This window comes from Homo sapiens, chromosome 10, assembly GCF_000001405.40.
Source record: "Homo sapiens chromosome 10, GRCh38.p14 Primary Assembly".
NCBI lineage: Eukaryota > Metazoa > Chordata > Mammalia > Primates > Hominidae > Homo > Homo sapiens.
Genome location: NC_000010.11, coordinates 38813563 through 38838918, shown reverse-complemented (window position 1 = coordinate 38838918; position 25356 = coordinate 38813563). Strand labels below are relative to the sequence as shown.

The 25356-nt window shown below is 38.0% G+C and overlaps 8 annotated features.

The window, feature by feature from the left end:
* Positions 10524-11025: an enhancer, noted in NCBI's record as "OCT4-NANOG-H3K27ac hESC enhancer chr10:39121025-39121526 (GRCh37/hg19 assembly coordinates)". NCBI's record gives its function as "activates a minimal SCP1, AML or CMV promoter by ChIP-STARR-seq in naive H9 embryonic stem cells {active_cell/tissue: H9 hESC(naive)}" and the evidence as "EXISTENCE:reporter gene assay evidence [ECO:0000049][PMID:30033119]".
* Positions 11214-12151: an enhancer, noted in NCBI's record as "OCT4-NANOG hESC enhancer chr10:39119899-39120836 (GRCh37/hg19 assembly coordinates)". NCBI's record gives its function as "activates a minimal SCP1, AML or CMV promoter by ChIP-STARR-seq in naive H9 embryonic stem cells {active_cell/tissue: H9 hESC(naive)}" and the evidence as "EXISTENCE:reporter gene assay evidence [ECO:0000049][PMID:30033119]".
* Positions 19509-20481: an enhancer, noted in NCBI's record as "OCT4-NANOG-H3K27ac-H3K4me1 hESC enhancer chr10:39111569-39112541 (GRCh37/hg19 assembly coordinates)". NCBI's record gives its function as "activates a minimal SCP1, AML or CMV promoter by ChIP-STARR-seq in naive H9 embryonic stem cells {active_cell/tissue: H9 hESC(naive)}" and the evidence as "EXISTENCE:reporter gene assay evidence [ECO:0000049][PMID:30033119]".
* Positions 20482-21455: an enhancer, noted in NCBI's record as "OCT4-NANOG-H3K27ac-H3K4me1 hESC enhancer chr10:39110595-39111568 (GRCh37/hg19 assembly coordinates)". NCBI's record gives its function as "activates a minimal SCP1, AML or CMV promoter by ChIP-STARR-seq in naive H9 embryonic stem cells {active_cell/tissue: H9 hESC(naive)}" and the evidence as "EXISTENCE:reporter gene assay evidence [ECO:0000049][PMID:30033119]".
* Positions 21456-22427: an enhancer, noted in NCBI's record as "OCT4-NANOG-H3K27ac-H3K4me1 hESC enhancer chr10:39109623-39110594 (GRCh37/hg19 assembly coordinates)". NCBI's record gives its function as "activates a minimal SCP1, AML or CMV promoter by ChIP-STARR-seq in naive H9 embryonic stem cells {active_cell/tissue: H9 hESC(naive)}" and the evidence as "EXISTENCE:reporter gene assay evidence [ECO:0000049][PMID:30033119]".
* Positions 22428-23401: an enhancer, noted in NCBI's record as "OCT4-NANOG-H3K27ac hESC enhancer chr10:39108649-39109622 (GRCh37/hg19 assembly coordinates)". NCBI's record gives its function as "activates a minimal SCP1, AML or CMV promoter by ChIP-STARR-seq in naive H9 embryonic stem cells {active_cell/tissue: H9 hESC(naive)}" and the evidence as "EXISTENCE:reporter gene assay evidence [ECO:0000049][PMID:30033119]".
* Positions 23402-24375: an enhancer, noted in NCBI's record as "OCT4-NANOG-H3K27ac hESC enhancer chr10:39107675-39108648 (GRCh37/hg19 assembly coordinates)". NCBI's record gives its function as "activates a minimal SCP1, AML or CMV promoter by ChIP-STARR-seq in naive and primed H9 embryonic stem cells {active_cell/tissue: H9 hESC(naive and primed)}" and the evidence as "EXISTENCE:reporter gene assay evidence [ECO:0000049][PMID:30033119]".
* Positions 24376-25349: an enhancer, noted in NCBI's record as "OCT4-NANOG-H3K27ac hESC enhancer chr10:39106701-39107674 (GRCh37/hg19 assembly coordinates)". NCBI's record gives its function as "activates a minimal SCP1, AML or CMV promoter by ChIP-STARR-seq in naive and primed H9 embryonic stem cells {active_cell/tissue: H9 hESC(naive and primed)}" and the evidence as "EXISTENCE:reporter gene assay evidence [ECO:0000049][PMID:30033119]".

Here is a 25356-nt window from a genome sequence, read left to right as displayed (position 1 = left end):
CTCCATTCCATTTTATACCTTTAGATTCCATTCAATTCCATTCTTTTTGATTCCATTCCATTCAATTCCATTCCATTTGACCCCATTGCATTCAAGTCCATTCCATTCCATTCCATTTCGTTCCACTCGATTCCAATTCGTTTGATTCCATTTTCTTCCTTTCCATTCCATTCCAGTTTATTCGAGGACATTCCATTCCATTCCGTTCTGTTCTGCTCGATTCCTATCTGTTCAATCCCATTTTATTCCAGTCCACTCCATTCCAGTCCATTACATTCGATTCCATTCCATTTGATTCCATTCCATTCGATTCCTTTCCACTCAATTTGACTCCGTTCCATTCCATTGTATTCCATTCTGTTCCAATCCATTCCATTCCAATCTATTCCATTTGATTACATTCCATACGATTCCATTCCATTTGAATCAGTTACATTGCAATCCATTACATTCGTGTCCATTCTATACCAGTCCATTCCATTCCGGTTGATTGCGTTCGATTTCATTCCATTCGATTCCATTCCATACTATTTCATTCCACTCGATTCCATTCTATTTGAATAAATTCCATTCAAAACCATTCCATTCGAGTCCATTCTATGTGAGTCCATTCCATTCGTGTCTAATACTTTTGGGTCCATTCCACTCCATTCCTTTCCATTCCATTCCATTCCATGCCCTTCCATTACATCATATTCCATTCCATTCCATGAACTTCCATTCGATTTTATTCCATTTGAGTCCATTCCATTCGAGTCCATTCCCTTCCTTTCCATTCCATTCCATTCGATGCCATTCCATTCCATTCAATTCCATTTGTCTCTATTCCATTCCATTCCATTTCTTCCGATTCCAGTCCATTCTATGAAATGTCATTCCATTCCAATGCATTCCATTACATTACATTACATTCGTTTCCCTTCCACTGGTGTCTATTCCACTCCAGTCCATTCTTTTCGAGTCCATTCCATTCCAGTGCATTCCATTCAAGTCCATTCCATTCCATTTCATTCAATATCTTTCCATTGCTCTCCATTCCGTTCTATTGCATTCGATTCCATTCAATTCCATTCTATTCTGTTCCATTCCATTTGACTCCATTCCAGTCGAATCCATTCCATTTCATTCCATTCTGTTCTGTTTGATTCCAATCCGTTCGATTCCATTGTGTTCCAGTCCATTCCATTCGAGTCTATTCCTTTCCAGTCCATTCCATTCGAATCCCTTCCATTTGATTCCATTGCATTTGTTTCCATTCCACTCGATTCCACTCTGTTCCATTCCATTGCATTCCACTCTATTAATTTCCGTTTCATTCCTTTCCAATCCAATTGACTACAGTATATTCAATTGCATTCCATTCAAATAAATTACATTGCAATCCATTATTTTCGAGTCCTTTCCATTCCAGTCCATTCCAGTCCAGTCCATTCTATTCGACTCCAATGCATTCGTTTTGATTCCATTCTATTGCATTCCATTCGATTCCATTCTATTTGAATGAATTCCATTTGAGACCATTCCTTTCGTGTTCATTCTATTTGTGTCCATTCCATTCGAGGCTATTACATTTGGGTCCATTCCATTCCATTCCATTCGATGCCATTCTATTCAATTCTATTCCTTTCTACTCCATTCCATTCCATTCCGTTCCATCCGATTCCATTCCATTCTATTCCATTCCATTTCATTCTATTCCTTTCCATTCCATTCATTCGTTTCCATTCCATTCGAGTCCATTCAACTCCAGTCCATTCCATTCGAGTTCTTTCCATTCCAGTATGATCCATTTGAGTCCATTCCATTCCATTCCATTTCTTTCCATTCCATTCCATTCCATTCCGTTATATTCTTTTCAATTTCATTCAATTCCATTATATTCCATTCCATTCCATTCAATCCCATTCCATGCGACTCCATTACATTGGAGTCCTTTCCATTCCATTCCATTCCATTCCATTACGTTCCGTTCATTTCGAATCTGTTCGATTCCATTTTTTTCTAGTCCAAATCATTCGAGTCCATTATATTCCAGTCCATTACAATCGATTCCATTCCATTCGATTCCATTCCATTCGATTCCATTTCACTTGATTTCACTCCGTTCCATTCCATTGCATTCCATTCTATTCCATTCCATTGCCTTGCATTCCGTTCTATTCCATTCCATTGCCTTGCATTCCATTACATTTTTTTACATTACATTCAATTCCATTCCATTCTAATCGATTACAGTTCAATCCATTACAGTTGAGTCCATTCTATTCCAGTCCATTCCATTCCGGTCCATTCCCTTCGATTCCATTACTTTCGATTCCATTCCATACTATTGCATTCCATTCGATTACATTCTAATCGAATACATTCATTCAAGACCATTACTTTCGAGTCCATTCTATTTGAGTGCGTTCCATTCTAGTCCAATATATTTGGGTCCATTCATTCCATTCCATTCCATTGCGTTCCATTATATTACTTTCCTTTCCATTTGTGTCCATTCGATTCCATTCCATTCGATACCATTCCATTCTATTAAATTCCATTTGAGTCCATTGCATTCGAGTCCATTCCTTCCCATTCCATTCCATTCCATTCCGTTCCATTCCATTCGATGCCATTCCATTCGATTCTTTTCCATTCGACTCCATGCCATTCCATTCCATTCGATTCCATTCGATGCCATTCCACTCGATTCTATTCCATTCGACTCCATTTCATTCCATTCTGTTCCATCCGATTCCATTCCATTCTATTCTATTCCATTCCATTCCTTTCCTTTCCAGTCGTTTCCATTTCTTTTGAGTCGATTCCACGGCAGTCCATTCCATTCGAGTCCATTCCTTTCCGGTCCATTCGAGTCCATTCTATTCCATTCTATCCCATTGGATATCATTACATTACCCTGCCTTTCATTCTATTCCTTTCGATTCCATTCATTTCCATTCCATTCGGTTCCATTCCATTCGACTCCATTCCATTCCATTCCACTCCATTCCATTCCAATCCACTCCATTCCATTCCTTTCAGTTCGATTCCAATCCGTTATATTCCGTTTTGTTCCAGTCCATTCCATTGGAGTACAATCCATTCCAGTCCATTCCATTCAATTCCATTCAATTCTATTCCATTCCACTTGATTCCCCTCCATTCCCTTCTATTGCATTCCATTCTATTCCATTCCATTGCATTGCATTCCATTCCATTTGATTACAATCCATTCGATTCCATTGCATTCGAATCAAGTACATTGCAACCCATTACATTCGAGTCCGTTCTATTGCAATCCATTCCATTCCGGTCCATTCCATTGATTTCCAATGCATACTATTGCTTTGCATTTGATTCCATTCTATTCGAATAAATTCCACTCGATACCATTTCTTTCGTGTCTGTTCTATTTGAGTCCATTCCATTCGAGTCCATTTCATTTGGTTCCATTCCATTCCATTCCATTCCTTTCCATTCCATTCGATTCCATTTCATTCGATTCATTTCCATTCGAGTACATTCCATTCGAATCCATTCATTCCCTTCCATGCAATTCCATTCGATTATATTCCATTTGACTCCATTCCAATCCATTCTGTTCAATCCGATTCATTCCATTCTATTGCTTTCCATTTCATTCCATTCCATTGCATTCGTTTCCATTTCATTCGAGTCCATTCCATTCCATTCTATTCCATTCGATGCCATTCCATTCGATTCTATTCCAATTGCCTCCATTCCATTTGAGTCCATTCCATTCCATTCCATTCGATGCCATTCCATTGTATGCTATTCCCTACAACTCCATTCAATTTCATTTCGTTCCATCAGATTCCTTTCCATTATAATCCTTTCCATTCCATTCCATTCCATTCTATTCCATTCCATTCGTTTCCATTCCATTTGAGTCCATTCCATTCCAGTCCATTCCTTTCGAGTCCATTCCTTTCTATTCCATTTGATATCTTTCCATTACCCTCCATTCCATTCTATTCCTTTCGATTCCATTCAATTCCATTCCGTTTGATTCCATTCAATTCAATTCCAGTGTATTCGACTACATTCCTTTTGAATCCATTCTGTTCCATTCCATTCCATTCCATTCTGTTCGATTACATTCCGTTTGATTACATTTTGTTACAGTCCATTCCATTCGAGTCCATTCTATTTGAATCCATTCCATTCGATTCCATTCCATTCGACTCCATTCCATTTGTTTCCATTCCACTCGATTCCACTCCGTTCCATTGAATTGCATTCCATTCTATTCCATTCCTTCACATTCCATTCCATTCCATTTGATTACATTCCTTTCGCTTTCAAGGCATTTGAATCAGTTACATTTCGATCCATTACATTCGAGTCCATTCTATTGCAATCCATTGCATTCCGGTCCATTCAGTTCTGTTCCATTCCACTCGATTGCATTCCATACTGTTGCGTTCCATTCGATTCCATTCTATTCGAATAAATTCCATTTCAGACCATTCCTTTAGAGTCCATTCTATTTGAGTCCATTCCATTCGAGTCCACTACATTTGGTTCCATTCCATTCTATTCCATGCCATTCCATTCTATTCTATTACATTCGAGACCATCCCATTAGTCCATTCCGTTCCATTCCATTCCATTCGATGCCATTCCTTTCGATTCCATTTCATTCGACTCCATTCCATTCAATTCCTTTCCATCCAATTCCATTCCATTCTATTCTATTCCATTCCATTCCTTTACTTTCCATTCGATTCCATTTCATTTGAGTCCACTCCACTGCAGTCCATTCTATTCAACTCCATTCCATTGCAGCCCATTTGAGTCCATTCTATTCCATTCCATTACATTGGACATCTTTACATTACCCTCCGTTTCATTCTATTTCTTTCAAATCCATTCAATTCCATTCCATTCATTTCCATTCCATTCGACTCCATTCCATTCTATTCTTTTCCATTCGATTCAAATCCATTCGATTCCATTTTGTTCCAGTGCATTCCATTGGAATCCATTCCATTCCATTACGTTCCGTTCGATTCCATCCATTCGATTCCATTTTGTTACAGTCCATTCCATTCGAGTAAATTCCATTCCAGTTCATTAAATTCGATCCCAGTAAATTCGAGTCCATTCTATTCCATTCCATTACATTGGATATCTTTACTTTACACTCCCTTTCATTCTATTCCTTTCGATTGCATTCAATTACATTAATTCTGTTCCATTCCATTTGAGTCCATTCCATTCGAGTCCATTTCATTCCATTCCATTCCATTCCATTCCATTCCATGCCGTTCGATTCCAATAGGTTTGCTTCCATTTTGTTCCAGTCCATTCCATTCGAGTCCATTGCATTCGATTCGATTCCATTGCATTCGATTCTATTCCACTCGATTCCACTCTGTTCCATTCCTTTACATTCCATTCCATTGCATTCCATTCCATTCCATTTGAATATTTTCCATTCGATTCCATTCCTTTCGATTCGATTACATTCCAGTCCATCACGTTCGTGTCCGTTCTATTCCAGTCCATTCCATTCAGGTCTATTCCATTCGATGCAATTCCATTCCATTCCATTCCATACTATTGCATTCCATTAGATTCCATTCTATTCGAATAAATTCCTTTCAAGACAGTTACTTTCGAGTCCATTCTATTTGTCCATTCAATTTGAGTCCATTACATTTGGGTCCATTCCTTTCCACTCCATTTCATTACATTCCGTGCCATTCGATGCCATTCCATTCCATTCTATTAAATTCAACTCCATTCCATTTGAGTCGATTCCAGTCCTTTCCATTCCATTCAATGTCATTAAATTAGATTCTATTCAATTCATCTCCATTCTATTTCATTCCAATCTTTCCGATTCCATTCCATTCCATTAGTTGCCATTAAATTCCATTCCATTCCATTCCATTCGATGCCATTCCATTCGATTTTATTCCAGTCGACTCCATTCCATTCCATTCAGTTCCATCTGATTCCATTCCATACTATTCCTTTCCGTTCCATTCCATGACATTTCATTCCATTGCATTCCATTCATTTCCATTTCATTTGAGTCCATTACACCCCGGTGCATTCCATTCGAATCTATTCCATTCCAATCCATTCATTTGGAGTCCATTCCATTCCATTCCATTCAATATCTTTCCATTACACTCCTTTCCATTCTATTCCTTTCGATTCCATTCAATTCCATTCCATTCAATTCAATTCCATTAGATTCCATTACATTCGATTCTATTCGATTCTGTTCCATTCCACTCAATTACACTCTGTTCCATTCTATTGCATTCCATTATATTCCATTTCATTGCATTCCACTCCTTTTGATTTGATTACATTCCATTCAATTCTATTTAATTCATTTCAATTACATTGCAATCCATTACATTCGAGTCCATTCTATTCCAGTCCATTCCATTCCGTTCCATTCCATTTGATTCCATTCCATTCGATTCCATTCCATACTATTGCATTCCATTCGATTCCATTCTATTAGAATAAATTCCATTTGAGACCATTCCTTTCGAGTCCATTCTATTTGAGTCCATTCCATTCGAGTCCATTACATTTGGCTCCATTCCATTCCTTTCCATTCCATTCCATTCCATTGTGTTTCGTTTGATTCCAATCTGTTTGATTCCATTTTTTTCCAGGCCAATCCATTCGATTCTATTCAATACCAGTCCATTCCATTCGATTCCATTCCATTCGATTCCATTGACTCAATTCCACTCTGTTCCATTCCATTGTATTCCATTCTATACCATTCCTTTGCATTCAATTCCTTTCCATTTCGTTGTACTCCATTCCATTCCATTCCATTTGATTACCTTCCATTCGATTCCAAGGCACTCAAATCAATTATTTTTCATTCGATTACATTCGACTCCATTCTACTTCAGTCCATTCCATTCGATTCTATTCCATTCAATTCCTTTAGAAACTATTGCATTCTTTTCGATTCCATTCTATTCGTGTATATTCTATTCGAGACCCTTCCTTTCGAGTCCATTCTATGTGAGTCCATTCCATTCGAGTCCATTACATTTGGGACCATTCCATTCCGTTCCTTTCCATTCAACTCGATGCCATTCCATTTGATTCCATTCCATTAAAGTCCATTCCATTCCTTTCCATTCAATTCCATTCTTTGCCATTCCGTTCGATTCTCTTCTATTTGAATCCATTCCATTCCATTAAATTCCTTCCGATTCCATTCCATTCTATTGAATTCCTTTCCATTCCATTCCATTCTATTCGTTTCAATTCCTTTCGATTCCATTCCACTCCAGTCTATTCCATTCGAGGCCATTCCATTCCAGTCCATTCCATTCGAGTCCATTCCATTACGTTCCATTCCATTTGATATATTTCCATTACACTCCGTTCCATTCTATTCCTTTCGATTCCGTTCACTTCCAATCCATTCGATTCCATTCCATTCGGTTCCATTCCAGTCGACTCCATTCCATTCGACTCCATTCCTTTCCATTCCATTCCATTCCATTCCATTCCGTTCCATTCCATTCCTTTCCATTCGACTCCAATCCGTTCGATTCCATTTTGTTCCAGTCCATTCCATTCGAGTCCATTCCAAACCAGACCATTCCATTCGATTCCATTCCACTCAAATCCTTTCGATTCGATTCCATTTCACTCAATTCCAATCCGTTCCATTCCATTGCATTCCTTTGTATTCCGTTCCATTGCGTACCATTCAATTCCATTTGATTACATTCTATTCGATTCCAATTCTTTCAAATCATTTGCATTGCAATACATTACGTTCAACTCCTTTCTATTCCAGTCCATTCCTCTCCGGTCCATTCCATTCGATTTCATTCTATTCGATTACTTTTCATACTATGGAATTCCATTCGATTCCATTCTATTTGAATAAATTCCATTTGGGACCATTCCTTTCAAGTCCATCCTATTTGAATATATTCCATTCGGGACCATTCCTTTCGAGTCCATTCTATTTTAATACATTCCATTCGAGTCCATTACATTTGGGTCCATTCCATTCCAATCCATTCCAATACATTCCATTCCATTCGATGCCAATCCATTTGATTCTATTCCATTCAACACCATTCCATTCCTTTCCATTCCATTCTATTCCTTTAAATTCCATTCCATTCCGTTCAATTCCATTGCAGTAGATGCCATTCCATTCGAGTCCATTCTATTCCATTCCATTTCACTCCATTCTGTTCCATTCAACTCCAATCCATTTGATTCCATTTTGTTCCAGTCCAATCCATTCGATCCCATTCCATTCCAGTCCATTCCGTTCAATTCCATTCCATTTGATTCCATTCCATTCAACTCCATTCAACTCGATTCCACTCCATTTCTTTCCCCTTCATTCCATTCTATTCCATTCCATTGCTTTCCTTTCCATTCCATTTGATTATATTCCATTCAATTCTATTACATACAAATCAATTACATTGCAATCCATTACATTTGAGTCCGTTCTATTCCAGTCCATTCCATTCAGATCCATTCCATTCGACTGAATTCCATTCGATTTCATCCCATACTATGACATTCAAATCGATTCCATTCTATTTGAATAAATTCCATTCGAGACCATTCCCTTCGAGTCCATTATATTTGAGTACATTCCATTGGAGTCCATTACATTTGTGTCCATTCCATTCCATTCCATGCCATTCAATTTGATTGTATTCCTTTCAAGTCGATTCCATTTGATTCATTCCATTCCATTCAATGCCATTGCATTCGATTCAATTCCATTTGACTCCATTCCATTCCATTCCGTTGCATCCGATTCTATTCCATTCTATTCCTTTCCATTCCATTCCATTCCATTCGAGTCCATTCCACTCCAGTCGATTCCACTTGAGTCCTTTCCCTTCCAGTCCATTCCATTTAATTCCATTCCATTCGATAATTTTCCTTTATAATCCATTCCCTTTTATTCCTTTCGATTCCTTTCAATTTCATTCTATTCAATTCCATTCCATTCAATTCCATTCCATTTGACTAAATTCTATTCAAGTCTATTTCATTCCATTCCATGCCATTCCGTTGCATTCAATTCCAATCCGTTAGATTCCATTTTGTTCCAGTGCATTCCGTTGAAGTACATTCCATTCCAGTCCATTCCATTCGATATCATTCCTTTCGATTCCCTTCCATTCGATTCCCTTCCTTTGGAGTCCATTTCATTCCTTTCCATTCCATTCAATTCCATTCGATGCAATTCCATTCGATTCTATTCCATTCAACACCATTCCATTCCTTTCCTTTCCATCTGATTCCATTCCATTCTATTCCTTTCCTTTCCATTCCATTCCATTCCTTTCCATGCCATTTGAGTCCATTCCTATCCAGCCAATTCCATTCAAGTCCATTCCATTCCATTCCATTCCTTTCGGTATCTTCCATTACACTGCATTCCATTCTATTCCTTTCAATTCCATTCAATTCCATTATATTTGATGTCAATCCATTTGATTACATTCCATTCGACTCCATTCCATTCGTGACCATTCCATTTCATTCCATTCCATGCCGTTCCATTCAATTCCAATCCGTTCGATTCCATTATGCTCCAGTCCATTCCATTAGAGTCCATTCCATTCCAGTCCATTCCAATTGATTCCATTCCCTTCGATTCCATGCCACTCGATTCCACTAAGTTCCATTCCATTGCATTACATTCAATTCCATTCCCTTGCATTCCATTCCATTGCATTTGATTATATTCCATTCGATTCCATTGCTTTCGAATTAATGACATGGCTGTCCATTCCATTCGATTCCATTGCTTTCGAATCAATGACATTGCAGTCCATTCCATTCGAGTCCATTCCATTCCGGGCCATTCCATTCGATTCCATTCCATTCGATTCCGTTCCATACTATTGCATTTAATTCGATTCCATTCTATTTGAATAAATTCCTTTCGTTAACATTCCTTTCAAGTCCATTCTATTTTAGTCCATTTCATTTGTTTCCATTACATTTGGGTCCAATCCATTCTAATCCTATCCATTCCATTCCATTCTATTCCTTGACATTCCATTCTATTCTGTTCCATTCTAGTCCATTCCATTCGAGTCCATTTCATTCCATTCCTTTCCATTCCATTGCTTTCTATTCAATGCCATTCAATTGGATTCTATTTCATTCCACTCCATTCCATTCCATTCTGTTCCATCCGTTTCCATTCCATTATATTCTTTCCATTCCATTCCTTTCCAATCCATTCGAGTCCATTTCACTCCAGTCTATTCCGTTGGTGTCCATTCCATTCCAGTCCAATCCTTTCGAGTCCCTTTCATTCCATTCCATTCCGCTCCTTTGATTCCAGTCCGTTCAATTCCATTGTGTTCCAGTCCATTGCATTCGAGTCCATTACATTCCAGTCCATTCTGTTCGATTCCTTTCCATCTGATTCCATTCCATTCGATTCCATTCCACTCGATTCCACTCAGTTCCATTCCACTGCATTCCATTCCATTACATTTAATTACATTCCATTCAATTCCATTCCATTTTAATCTATTACATTGCAATCCATTACATTCGAGTCCACTCTATTCCAGTCCATTCCATTCTGGTCCATTCCATTTGATTCCATTCCATTCGATTCCATTCAATACTACTGCATTCCATTCGATTCTATTCTATTCGAATGAATTCCTATCGAACCCATTCTTTTTGAGTCTATTCTATTTGATTAAATTCCATTTGAGACCGTTACATTTCGGTCCATTCGATTCCATTCCATTCCATTCCATTCAATGCCATTCCATTTGACTATATTTCTTGAGAATCCATTCAATTTGAGTCCATTCCATTCCATTCCATTTCATTCTATTCCATTTGATGACATTCCTTTCGATTCTATTCCATTGGACTCCATTACTTTCCATTCCGTTCCATCCGATTCCACTCCATTATATTCCTTTCCATTCCATTTCTTTCGTTTCCATTCCATTTGAGTCCATTCCACTCCAGTCCATTCCATTGGAGTCTTTTCCACTCCCGTGAATTCCATTCGGGTCCATTCCATTCCATTCCCATCCATTTGAGTCCATTTCATTCCCTTCCACTCCATTGGATATCTTTCCATTACACTCCAATCCATTCAATTCCATTTCATTCAATTCCATTCCACCCGATTCCACTTCATTCCATTCCATTTCATTCCATTCTGTTACATTCTGTTGCATTCCATTCAATTCCACTGTATTACATTTCATTCGATTCCATTCCATTTGAATCAATTACATGACAATCTACTACACTCACGTCCATTCTTTTCCAGTCGATTGCATTCCATTCTATTCCATTTGATTACATTCCATACGATTCCATTCCCTTAGAATCATACATTGCAATCCATTACACTTGAGTCCATTCTATTCCAGTCCATTCCATTTCTGTCCATTCCATTCGATTCCATTCCATACTTTTGCTATCCATTCGATTCAATTCTATTCGAATAAATTCCATTTGAGACCATTACTTTTGAGTCCATTCTATTTGATTCCATTCCATTCCAGTCCATTACATTTGGGTCCATTCCATTCCCTTACATTTCATTCCACTCCATTCGATTTGATGCCATTCCATTCTACCCTATTCCATTCGAGTCCATTCTGTTCGAGTCCATTCCTTTCCATTCAATTCCATTCCATTCGATGACATTCCAGTCTATTCCTTTCCATTCCATTCCACTCGTTTCCATTCCATTCGAGTCCACTCCAATCCAGTCCAATCTGTGCTAGTCCACTCCATTCCAGTCCATTCCATTGGATTCCATTCCATTCCATTGCATTCCATTCAATATCTTTCCAATACATTCCATTCCTTTCTATTCCTTTTGATCCCATTCAATTCCATTACATTCAGTTCCATTCCTTTCGACTCCATTCCATTTGAGTCCATTGCATTCCATTCCATTCCATTCCGTTCCGTTCTATTTGAATCCGATTCATTCCATTTTGTGCCAGTCCACTCCATTGGAGTACATTCCATTCGATACCACTCCATTCAATTCCATTCCATTAGATTCCTTTCCAGTCAATTCCACTACGTTCCATTCCATTGCATTCCATTCTATTCCATTCAATTGCATTCCATTCCATTCCATTTGATTACATTCCATCGATTCCATTCCATTCGAATCAATTATATTTCAACCCATTCCATTCGAGTCCATTCTATTCCAGTCCATTCCATTCCGGTGTACTCCATTCTATTCCATTCCACTCGATTCCATTCCATACTATTGCATTTCATTCGATTTCATTCTATAAGAATAAATTAAATTCGAGACCATTCCATTCAAGTACATTGTGTTGGAGTCCACACCGTTTGAATCCATTATATTTGGGTGCATTCCATTCGATGCCATACCATTCTATTCTATTCCAATCGAGTCCATTCCATTCCATTCCATTGAATTCCATTCCATTCCATTTGATGTCATTCCATTCGATTCAATTCCATTCCAACCCATTCCATTCCTTTCTGTTCCATCCTATTCCCTTCAATTCTATTCCATTCCATTCCATTCAATTCTATTCCCTTCCATTCTATTCCATTCCATTCCATTCCATTCCATTCCATTCCATTTGCTTCCTTTCCTTTCGAGGCCAGTCCTCTCCAGTCGATTCCATTCGAGTCCATTCTACTCCAGTCCATTCCATTCGAGTACATTCCATTCCAAACCATTCCATTCGAGTCCATTCCATTCCAGTCCAATCCATTTGATATCTTTCCATTACACTCCATTCCATTCTATTCCTTTCTATTCTATTCAATTCCATTACATTTGGTTCCATTCCCTTCGATTGCATTCCATTTGATTCCATTACTTTCAAGTCCTTTCCATTCCATTCCTTTCCGTTCGATTTCAATTTGTTCTGGTCCATTCCATTCGACTCCATTCCATTCTATTCCATTCCATTCGATTCTATTCCATTCGATTCCATTCCACTCGATTCCACTCCGTTTCACTCCATTGCATTCCGTTATATTCCATTCCATGTCATTCCATTCCAATCCATTTGATTCCATTCCATTCAATTCAATTCCATTCTAATCAATTACATTGCAATCCATTACATTCAAGTCTGTTCTAATCCAGTCCATTCCATTCCAGTCCATTCCATTAGATTCCATTCCATTTGTTTCCTTTCCATAATATTGCATTCCATTCGATTCCATTGAATTCTTATAAATTCCATTTGAGACCATTCCTTTCGAATCCATTCTGTTTGAGTCCATTCCGTTCGAGTCCATTCCAGTTGATTCCATTCCATTCCATTTCATTCCATTCCAGTTGATGGCTTTCCGTTTGATTGTATTCCTTTCATGTTCCTTCAATTCGAGTCCATTGCATTCCATTCCATTTGATAGCATTTGATTCAACTCTATTCCATTCAACTCTATTCTATTCCATTCCATTTCTTTCCATCTGATTCAATTCCACTTTATTCCTTTCCATTCCATTCCATTCAATTCCATTCGTTTCCATTCCATTTGTCTCCATTCCTCTCCAGTCCATTCCAATCGAGTCCATTCCATTCCAGTCCATTCCATTCGATTCCATTCCATTCGATTGTATTCCATACTATCGGATTGCTTTTGATTCCTTTCTATTCGAATAAATTCCTTTTGAGAGCATGCCTTTCGAGTCCATCATGTTTGGGTCCATTCCATCCAAGTCCATTACATTTGGGTCCATTCTATTCCATTCCGTTCCCTTCAATTCCAATCCATTCTATTCCATTTTTTTCCAGTCCATTAGATTCGAGTTCATTGCATTCCAGTCCATTCGATAACCTTCCAATCGATTCTATTCCTTTCGATTCCATTCAATTCCATTCCGTTCGATTACATTACATTCGATTCCATTCCTTTCGACTCCATTCCCTTCGAGTGCATTCCACTCCAGTCCATTCCATTCGAGTCCATTCCATTCCAGCCCATTCCATTCGTGTCCATTCCATTCCATTCCATTCGAAATCTTTCCATTACACTCCATTCCATTCTATTCCTTTTGATTCCATCCAGTTCCATTAAAATCGATTCCATTCCATTTAATTCCATTCCATTCGACTCTATTCCATTTGAGTCCATTCCAATGCATTCCATTCCATCCCACTCCATTCCATTTGAGTCCATTCCAATGCATTCCATTCCATCCCACTCCATTCGATTCCAATCCGTTCGATTCCATTTTCTTTCAGTCCATTCCATTCCAGTCCATTCCATTTGATTCCATTCCATTCGTTTCCATTCCTCTGGATTCCACTCTGGTCCATTCCATTGCATTCCATTCTATTGCTTTCCATTGCATTCCATTGCATTCCATTCCATTCCATTTTATTACATTCCATTTGATTCCATTCCATTTGATTCCTTTCCATTCATATCAATTCCATTGCAATCCATTATATTGCAGTCCATTCTATTCCAGTCCATTCCATTCCGGTCCATTGAATTTGATTCTATTCCACTGGATTCCATTCCATTCTACTGCATTCCATTCGATTCCATTCTATTTGATTCAATTCCATTCGAGACCATTATGTTTGATTCCGTTCTATTTGAGTCTATTCCATTCGAGTCCATTATATTTGAGTCCACTCCATTCCATGCCATTCCAATCCATTCCACTCATTGCCATTCCATTCTATTCTATTCCATTACAGTCCATTCCATTCGAGTCCATTCCATTCCATTCCATTCCATTTGATGCCATTCCTTTTGATTCGATTCGATTCCATTCCATTCCATTTAATTCCATCCAATTCCATTCCATTCGATTCCTTTATATTCAATTCCATTCCATTCCTTTTGTTTCCATTCCATTTAATCCATTACACTACAGGCCTTTCTATTCGAGTCCATTGCATTCCAGTCCAATCCGTTCGAGTCCATTCAGTTCCATTCGGTTTGATATCTTTCCATTACCCTCCATTCCATTCTATTCCTTTCAATTCCATTAAGTGCCATTCCATTCAATTCCATAACATTCGGTTCAATCCCATTCGTTTCCATTCCTTTTGGTTCCATTCCGTTCAACTCCATTCCATTCGAGTCCATTCCATGCAATTCCATTACGTTCTGTTCAATTCCAATCCCTTCGATGCCATTTTGTTCCAGTCCATTCCATTCGAGTCCATTCCATCCAGTACATTCCTTTCTATTCCATCCCATTCGATTCCATGTCATTCAATTCCTTTCCACTCGATTCCACTCCTTTCCATTCTATTGCATTCCATACTATTCCATTCCGTCCAGTACATTCCTTTCTATTCCATCCCATTCGATTCCATGTCATTCAATTCCTTTCCACTCGATTCCACTCCTTTCCATTGCATTGCATTCCATTCTATTCCATTCCATTGCATTCCATTCCATTTCATTTGATTATATTCCATTCAATTCCATTCTATTTGAATCTATTGCATAGCAATCCATTACATTCGAGTCCATTCTATTCCAGTCTGTTCCATTCCGGTCCGTTCCATTCAATTACATACCACTCTATTCCATTCCATACTATTGCATTCCATTCGATTCCAGTCAATTCAAATAAATTCCATTCGAGACCATTCCTTTCGAGTCCATTCTATTTCTGTCCAATCCATTTGAGTCCATTACATTTTGGTCCATTCCATTCCATTCCATTCCTTTTCATTCCATTCGATATCATTCCATTCGATTCTATTCCATTCAATTCCATTCCATTCGAATCCATTCCATTCCATTCCATTCGATAACATTCCATTACATTATATTCCATTCTATTCCTTTCCATTCCATTCAGTTCCATTCCATTCAATTCCATTCCTTTCCACTCCATTCATTTAGAGCCCATTCCATTCTGTTCCTTTCCCTTCTTTTGAAGTATATTCCGTTAGATTCCATTATGTTCCAGTCCATTCCATTCGACTCCATTCCATTCCAGTCCATTCCATTGGTTTCCATTCCATTCGATTCCACTGTGTTCCATTCCATTGCAGTCTGTTCTATTCCATTCCATTGCATTCCATTCCATTACATTTGATTACATACCATTCAATTCCATTCCATTCCAATCAATCACATTGCAATCCATTACATTCGTTTTCATTATATTCCAGTCCATTCCTTTCCAGTCCATTCCATTTGATAACTTTCCATTCGACTTTATTCCATACTACTGCATTCCTTTCGTTTCCATTCTATTCAAATTAATTGAATTCGAGACCATTCCTTTCGAGTCCATTCTATTTGAGTCCATTCCATTTGAGTCCATTCCATTCCATTCCATTCCTTTCCATTCGAAGCCATTCCATTCGATTCTATTCCATTCGAATCCATTCCATTCCATTCTGTTCCATCCCATTCCATTCCATTCCATTCCATTCCTTCCCCTTCCATTCCATTCCATTGGTATCCATTCAATTCAATTCCATTCCACTCCATTCCATTCAATTCGATTCCATTCCATTCAACTCAATTCCATTCGATTCCATTCCCTTCCATTCCATTCCCTTCTGTTCCATTCAATTCCAATCGGTTCCATTCCATTTTACTCCATGACTGGAATTCCATTCAAGTCCATTCCATTCCAGTCCATTTCATTTGATTGCATTCCATTCGATTCCATTCTACTTGATTCCACTCCATTCCATTCCATTCTATTCCATTCTCTTGTGTTCCATTCCATTCCATTTTATTACATTCCATTCGATATAATTCCATTCGAATCAAGTACATTCCACTCCATTACATTTGAGTCCGTTCTATTCCATTCCATTCCATTCTATTCCATTCCATTCCATTCCATTCCATTCAATTCCAATCTATTCCATACCATACTATTGCACTGCATTCGATTTCATTCTATTGGAGTAAATTCCATTCGGGATCATTCCTTTAGATTACATTCCATTTGAGTCCATTCCATTAGAGTCCATTCCATTTGGTTCCATTCTATTCCTTTCCATTCCATTCCATTCGATTTTAATTCATATTATAGCATTCCTTTTGATTCCATTCTATTCGAATAAATTCCATTCGAAACCATTCCTTTCCAGTCCATTCTATTTGAATCCATTCCATTCGAGCCCATTACATTTGGGTCCATTTATTTAAATTCCATTCCAATACATTCCATTCCATTCCAGTTGATGCCAATCCATTCTATTCTATTCCATTTGATTCCATTCTATTTGATTACATTCAATTCTACTCGATGCCATTTCATTTGATTCTATTCCGTTCGACTACATTGCATTCCATTCCATTCCATCCGAATCTATCTATTCCATTCCATTCCATTCGTTTCCATTCCATTCTAGTCCATTCCACTCCAGTCCATTAAATTCAGGTCCCTTCCATTCCAGTACATTCCGTTCCAGTCCATTCCATTCCATTCGAAATCTTTCCATTAAACTACCTTCCATTCCATTCCATTAGATGCAATTCCATTCTATTTTATTACAATCGAGTCCATTTCAATCGAGTCCATTCCATTCCACTCCATTCTATTCCATTCGATGACATTCCTTTTGATTCTATTCCATTCGACTTCATTTCATACCATTCGGTTCCATCCGATTCCATTCCATTTTATTCTTTTCCTTTCCATTCCATTCCATTAGTTTCCATTCCATTCGAGTCCTTTCCAAACCCATCCATGCCATTTGAATACATTCCATTCCATTCCATTTGATATCTTTCCATTACAATCCATTCCATTCTATTCCTTACAATTCCATTCCATTTCATTCCATTTGGTTCCATTCCATTCGACTCCATTCCATTCGCGTCCATTCCATTCCATTCCATTCTGTTGAATTCCAATCTGTTCGAATCCATTATGTTCCAATCAATTCCATTCGAGTCCATTCCATTCCAGTCCATTCCATTCGATTCCATTCCATTTGATTCCTTTCCATTCGATTCCATTCCAGTCGATTCTAATCCCTTCCATTCCATTGCATTCCGTTCGAATTCTATTCCATTGCATACCATTCCATTCCATTTGATTACATTCCGATCGAATCCATTGCATTCAAATCTAGTACATTGCAATCAATTATGTTTGAGTCCGTTCTATTCCAGTCCATTCCATTCCAGCCAATTCTATTCGATTCAATTCCATTCGATTCCATTCCATACTATTGCATTCCATTCGATTCCATTCTATTCGAATAAATTCCATTTGACACCATTCTTTTCTAGTCCCTTCTATTTTAGTCCATTCCAATCGCATCCATTACTTTTGGGACCATTCCATTCCATTCTATTACATTCGATTCCATTCGATGCCATTCCATTCGATTCTGTTCCATTAGAGTCCATTCCGTTCGAGTCCATTCCATTTCATTCCATTCGATGACATTGTGATCGATTCGATGCCATTCCATTCTATTCTATTCCATTCGACCCCATTCCATTCCATTATGTTTCATCCGATTCCATTACATTCTATTCCTTTCCATGGACTGCAATGGAACAGAATCAAATAGAATGGACTGGAATCGAATGTACTCGAATGGAATGGACTGCAGTGGAATGGACTCGAATGGAATGGAAACGAAAGGAATGTAAAGGGAATGGAATGCTATGGAATGGAATGGAAAGTAATAGAATGGAGTGGAATTGGATGGAACGGAATGGAGTCGAATGGAATAGAATCGAATGGAATGGCATCAAATGGAATGGAATGCAATTTTATGGAATGGACTAAAATAGAATGGACTCGAAAAGATTGGTCTCAAATTGAATTTAATCTGATAGAATGTAATCAAATGGAATGCAACAGTATGGAATGGAAACGAATTGAATGAACTGGAATAGAACGAACTGGAATATAATGGATTGTAATGTAATTGTATCAAAAGGAATGGTATTGAATGGATTGTAATAAAATGGAATGGAACGGAATGCAATGGAATGGCATAGACGGGAATGCAATGGAATGGAACATAGTGGAATCAAGTGGAAAGGAATCGAATGAAATGAAATTGAATTTAAATGAATCAAATGGAATGGAATCAAAGGGAATGGAATTTAATGTTTTCAAAAGGAATAGAATGGTATGGAGTTTAATGGAAATATACTGAATGGAATGGAATGGAATAGAATGGAAGGGAAAGGAATGGAATCCAATGGAATGGACTGGAATGGAATGGTCTCGAATGGAATGTACTGGAGAGGAATGGTTTCGAATGAAATGGAAACGAATAGAATGCAATAGAATGAAATGGAATGGAAAGGAATAGAATGGAATGGAATCAGATGGAATGGAATAGAATTGAATGGAGTCGAATGGAATGGAATCCAATTAGATGGCATCAAATGGATTGGAATGGAATGGAATGAAATGGAATGGATGCGAATGTAATGGAATCGAATGGAATAGAATCAAATTGAAGGGCATCAAATGGAATGCAATGGAATAGAATGGACCGAAATGTAATGGACTCGAATGGACTGGATTCAAATAGAATGGATTTGAAGGGATTGGTCGCGATTGGAATTTATTCAAATAGAATGGAATCGAAAGGAATGCAATAGTATGCAATGGAATTGAATTGAACGGAATCGAAAGGAATGGATCGGAATGGAATGGACTGGAATAGAACGGACTCGAATGTAATGGATTGTAATGTATTTGCTTCGAATGGAATGTAATCGAATGGAATATAATCAAATGGAATGGAATGGAATGCAATGGAATGGACACAAATGGATTGGAATCGAGTGGAATGGAATCAAATGGAATGGAATAGAATGGATTGGAATTGAATGGAGTCAAAAGGAATAGAAGGGAATTTAGGGTAATGGAAAGATATCAAACGGAATGGAATGGAATGGTATTGACTCGAATAGAATGGACTGGAATGAAATGGACTCGAATGGCATAGAATCGAATGGAATGGCTTCGACTGGAATGGAAGGGAATGGAATGGAATAAAATGGAATGGACCCAAATATAATGGACTCTAATGCAATGGACTCAAATAGAATGGACTCAAAAGGAATGGTCTCGAATGGAATTTATTTGAATAGAATGGAATCGAATGGAATGCAAAAGTATGGAATGTCATCAAATGTAATGGAATAGAATGGAAAGCACTGGAATAGAATGAACTGGAATAGAGTGGACTCGAATGTAATAGGTTGCAATGTAATTTATTCGACTTGAATGGAATTGAATGGAATATAATCAAATGGAATGGAATGGAATGCCCTGGAATGGAATAGAATGGGACGCAATAGAATGGAACGGAGTGGAATCGTGTGGAATGGAATTGAATGGAATGGAATCGAATGGAATGGCATTCAATGGAATGGACTGGAAAGGAATGGACTCGAATGGAATGGACTGGATCAAAGTGGAATCAATCATATTGGAATGGAAATAATTGGAATGGAATGGACTGGAATGGAATGGACTCGAATGGAATGGACTGGATCAAAATGGAATCAAACATATTGGAATGGAAAGAAATGGAATGGAATGGAATGGAATGGAAAGGTCTCGAATGGAATGGAGTCGAAAGGAATGGAATCGAATGGAAAAGAACCAAATGGAATGGAATTGAATGGAATCAAAATGAATAGTATGGAATGGAGTGTAATGGAAAGATACTGAATGGAATGGAAAGGAATGGAATGGAATCTAATGGAATGGACTCAAATAGAATGGAAGAAAAAGGAATGGCCTCGAATGGAATTTATTCAAATAGAATGGAATCGAATGGAATGCAATAGTATGGAATGAAATCGAATGGAATGGACCAGAATGGAATGGACTGGAATCGAACGTACTCGAATGAAATGGATTGCAATGTAATTAATTCGAATGGAATGGAATCAAATTGAATGAATTCAAATGGAATGGAATGGAATGCAATAGAATGGAATAGAATGGAAGACAATGGAATGGAACAGAGTGGAATCGAGTGGAATGGAATCGAATGGAATGGAATCAATTAGAATGGACTGGAATGGAATGTACTCGACTGGAAAGGACTGGAACAAAATGGAAACGAACGGATTGGAATCGAATTGAATGGAACAGAATGGAATGAATTTGACTCAAATGGAAGGGACACGAATGGAACGGAATTGAATGGAACGGAATCTATTAGAATGGAATTCAATGGCATCAAAAGGAATAGAAAGGGAGGGAGGGTAATGGATAGATTTAGAATGGAACAGAATAGAATGGACTCAAATGGAATGGACTGGAATTGAATGGACTCAAAGGGAATGGACAGGAGTGGAATGGACGCGAATGGAATGGAAACGAATGGAAAGGAATGAAATGGAACGCATTGGAATGGAATGGAGTGGAATCGAGTGGAATGGAATTGAAGGGAATGGAATTGAATGGAATGGATTCGAATGGAATGGACTTGAATGGAATAGACTGTAGTGGAATGGACTCGAATGGAAAGGAAAAGAATGGAATGGAATGGAATGTAAAGGAAGAGAATGGAGTGGAATCGGTTGGAACGGAGTGGAATGGAATGGAGACGAATGGAATAGAATCGAACTGAATGGCATTGAATGGAATGGAATGGATTTGAATGAACTAGACTCGAATGGAATGGTCTTCAATGGAAAGGCATCGAATGGAATGGAATGGAATGGAATATATCCAAATGTAATGGACTCGAATGGAATGGACTCAAAGAGAATGGACTTGAAAGAAATTGTCTCGAATGGAATATATTCGAATAGCATGGAATCAAATGGAATGCAGTAGTATGGAATGGAATCGAATGGAATGGAATCAAAAGGAATGCATCGGAATGGAGTGGACTGGAATAAAATGGACTCGAAAATAATGGATTGCAATATAATTCTTTCAAATGGAAGGGAATAAATTGGAATATAATCAATTGGAATTAAATGGAATCCAATAAAATGGAATAGAATGGAATGCAATGGAATGGAAAGGAGTGGAATCGAGTGGAATGGAATTGAATGCAATGGAATCGAATGGAATGGACCGGAATGCCATGGACTCGAATGGAATGGACTGGATCAAAATGGAATCTAACGGTTTGGAATCGAATGGAATGGAATGGAATAGGATGGAAAGAAATGGAGTCAAATTGAATGGAGATGGATGGAATGGAATCGAATGGAATCGAATGGAATGGAAGTGAATGGAATCGAAAGGAATAGAAAGAAATGGAGTGTAATGGAAAGGAATGGAATGGAATGGAATGGAATTATCTCGAATGTAAAGGACTGGAATGGAATTGACTGGAATGGAATGGACTGGAGACGAATGGAGTGGAATGTAATGGACTGGAGGGGAATGGACTCGAATGGAATGGAAATGAATGGAATGGAATGAAATGGCATGGAAGGGAAAGGAATAGAATGGAATGGAATTGGATAGAACGGAATGGAATGGAATGGAGTCGAATGGAATAGAAATGAATGGAATGGCATCAAATGGAATGGAATGGAATAGAATGGACTCGAAGGGAATGGACTCGAATGGAACAGAATCAAATGGAATGGAATGGAATGGAATGGAATGAAATGGAATTGAACAGAATGGAAAGTAATGGACCCAAATGCACTGGACTCGAATAGAATGGACTTAAATAGAATGTACTCGAAAGAATTGGTTTCGAATGGAATATATTCGAATAGACTGGAATAGAAAGCAATGTAGTAGTATGGAATGGAATCAAATGGAATGAAATGGAATGGAATGGACTGGAATAGAACGGACGCAAATGTAATGGATTGCAATGTAATTGATTCGAATGGAATGGACTCGAATGGAATGTAAACAAATGGAATGTAATGGAATGCAATGCAATTGAATGGAACGGAGTGGAATTGAGCGGAATGGAATGGAATGGAGTAGAATCAAATGGAATGGAATAGAATGGAATGGAACAAAATGGAATCGAACGAATTGGAAACGAATGGAATGAAATACAATGGAAAGGAATGGAATGGAATCGAATGGAATGGATTCGAATGGAATGGAATTGAATGGAATGGAAACGAATGGAATCCAATTGAATGGAATTGAAAAGAAAATAATGGATTGGGGTGTAATGGAAAGATATTGAATGGAATGGAATGGACTCGAATGGATCGACTGGAATGTAATGGACTCCAATGTAATGGACTGGAGTGGAATAGACTCGAATGGAATGGAAACGAATGGAATGGAATGGAATGGAATGGAATGGAATGAAATGAAAAGGAAAGGAATAGAAAGTAATGGAATGGAAAGGAGTCGAATGGAACGGAGTCAAAAGAAACAGAATTGAATGGAATGGCATCGAATGGAATGGAATGGAATGGAATGGACTCGAATGGAATAGAATAGAATGGAATGGCATCGAATGGAAAGGAATGGAGTGAAATGGAGAGGAATTGAATGGATCCAAATGTAATGGACTCAAATGGAATGGACCCAAATAGAATGGACTCGAAAGGAAGGGTCTCGAATGGAATTTATTTGAATAGAATGGAATCAAATAGAATAAATAGTATGGAATGGAATCGAATGGAATGAAATTGAATGAAATGAACTGGAATGGAATGGAATGGAATGGAACGGATTTGAATGTAGTGGATTGCAATGTAATTGATTTGAATGGAATGGAATCGGATGGAATGCGATGGAAAGGAATGGAGTCGAATGGAATAGAGTCGAATGGAATGGCATCAAATGGTATGGAACGGAATGGAATGGAATGGAATGGAACGCAATGGACTCGAATGGAAAAGAATGGAATGGAATGGCATCGAATGGAATGGTATGGAATGGAATGGCATGGACCCAAATGAAACGGACTTGAACGGAATGGACTCAACAATAATGAACTCAAAAGGAATGGTCTCGAATTGTATTTATTCGAATAAAATGGAATCCAATGGAATGCAATAGTATGTAATGGAATGGAATGCAAAGGAATGGAATAGAATGGAATGCAATAGAAAGGAACGGAGTGGAATCAAGTGGAATGGAATCGAATGGAATGGAATCAAATGGAATGGAATCGAATGGAATGGACTTCAATGGAATGGACTCGAATGGAATGGACTCGAATGGAATGGACTGGAACAAAATGGAATCAAACGATTTTGAATCGAACAGAATGGAAGTAACGGAACAGAATGGACTGGACTTGAATGGAATGGAGTCGAATGCAATGGAATCGAATGGAACGGAATTGAAAGGAATAGAATTGAAGGGAATATAATGGAAAGATGTCAATTGGAATGACTTGTAATGGACTCAAAAGGAATTGACTGGAATGGAATGGACTCAAATGGAATGGAAATGAATGGAATGGAATTGAATGGAACGGAATGAATACAATGGAATGGAATCTGATGGAATGGAATGGAATGGAATTGAGTTGAATGGAATAGAGCCGAATGGAATGGCATCGAATGGAATGGAATGGAATGGAACGGAATGGTCTCGAATGGAATGGACACAAATGGAATAGAATTGAATGGAACGGCATAGAATGGAATGGAAATGAAAGGAATAGAATGGACCCAAATATAATGGACTCAAAAGGAACAGAATCAAATGGAATGGACTCGAAAGGAATGGTCTCGAAAGGAATTTATTCCAATCGAATGGAATGGATTGGAATGCAATAGTATGGAATGGAATCGAATGGAATGGAATCGAATAGAATGGATTGGAATGGAATGGAATGGAATAGAACAGACTCGAATGTAATGGATTGCAAAGTAATTGATTCGAATGGAATGGAATTGAATGGAATATAACCAAATGGATAGGAATGGAATGCAATGGAATGGAATAGAATGGAATGCAATGGAATGGAATGGAGTGGAATCGAGTCTAATGGAATCGAATGGAATGGAATTGAATAAAATGGAATCGAATGGCATGGACTCGAATGGAATTGACTGGAACAAAATGGAATGGAATGGATTGGAATCAAACGGAACAGAAAGGGATGGAATGGAATGGAAAGAACTCGAACACAATGGAGTTGAAAGGAATGGAATCGAGTGGAGTGGAACGGAGTGGAATGGACTTGAATGGAATGGAAACCAATGGAATGGAATGGAATGGATTGGAATGGAATGGAATTGAATGGACTGGAATTGGATGGAACGGAATGGAATGGAATGGAGTGACATGGAATAGAATCAAATGGAATTTCATCAAATGGAAAGGAATGGAATGTAATGCAAAGGAATCGAACTGAATGGTCTCGAAAGGAATGGAGTCGAATCAAATGGAATCGAACGGATTGGACTGCAGTGGAATGGACTATAATGGAATGGAAACGAATAGAATGGAAAGGAACATATTGTAAAGGAATA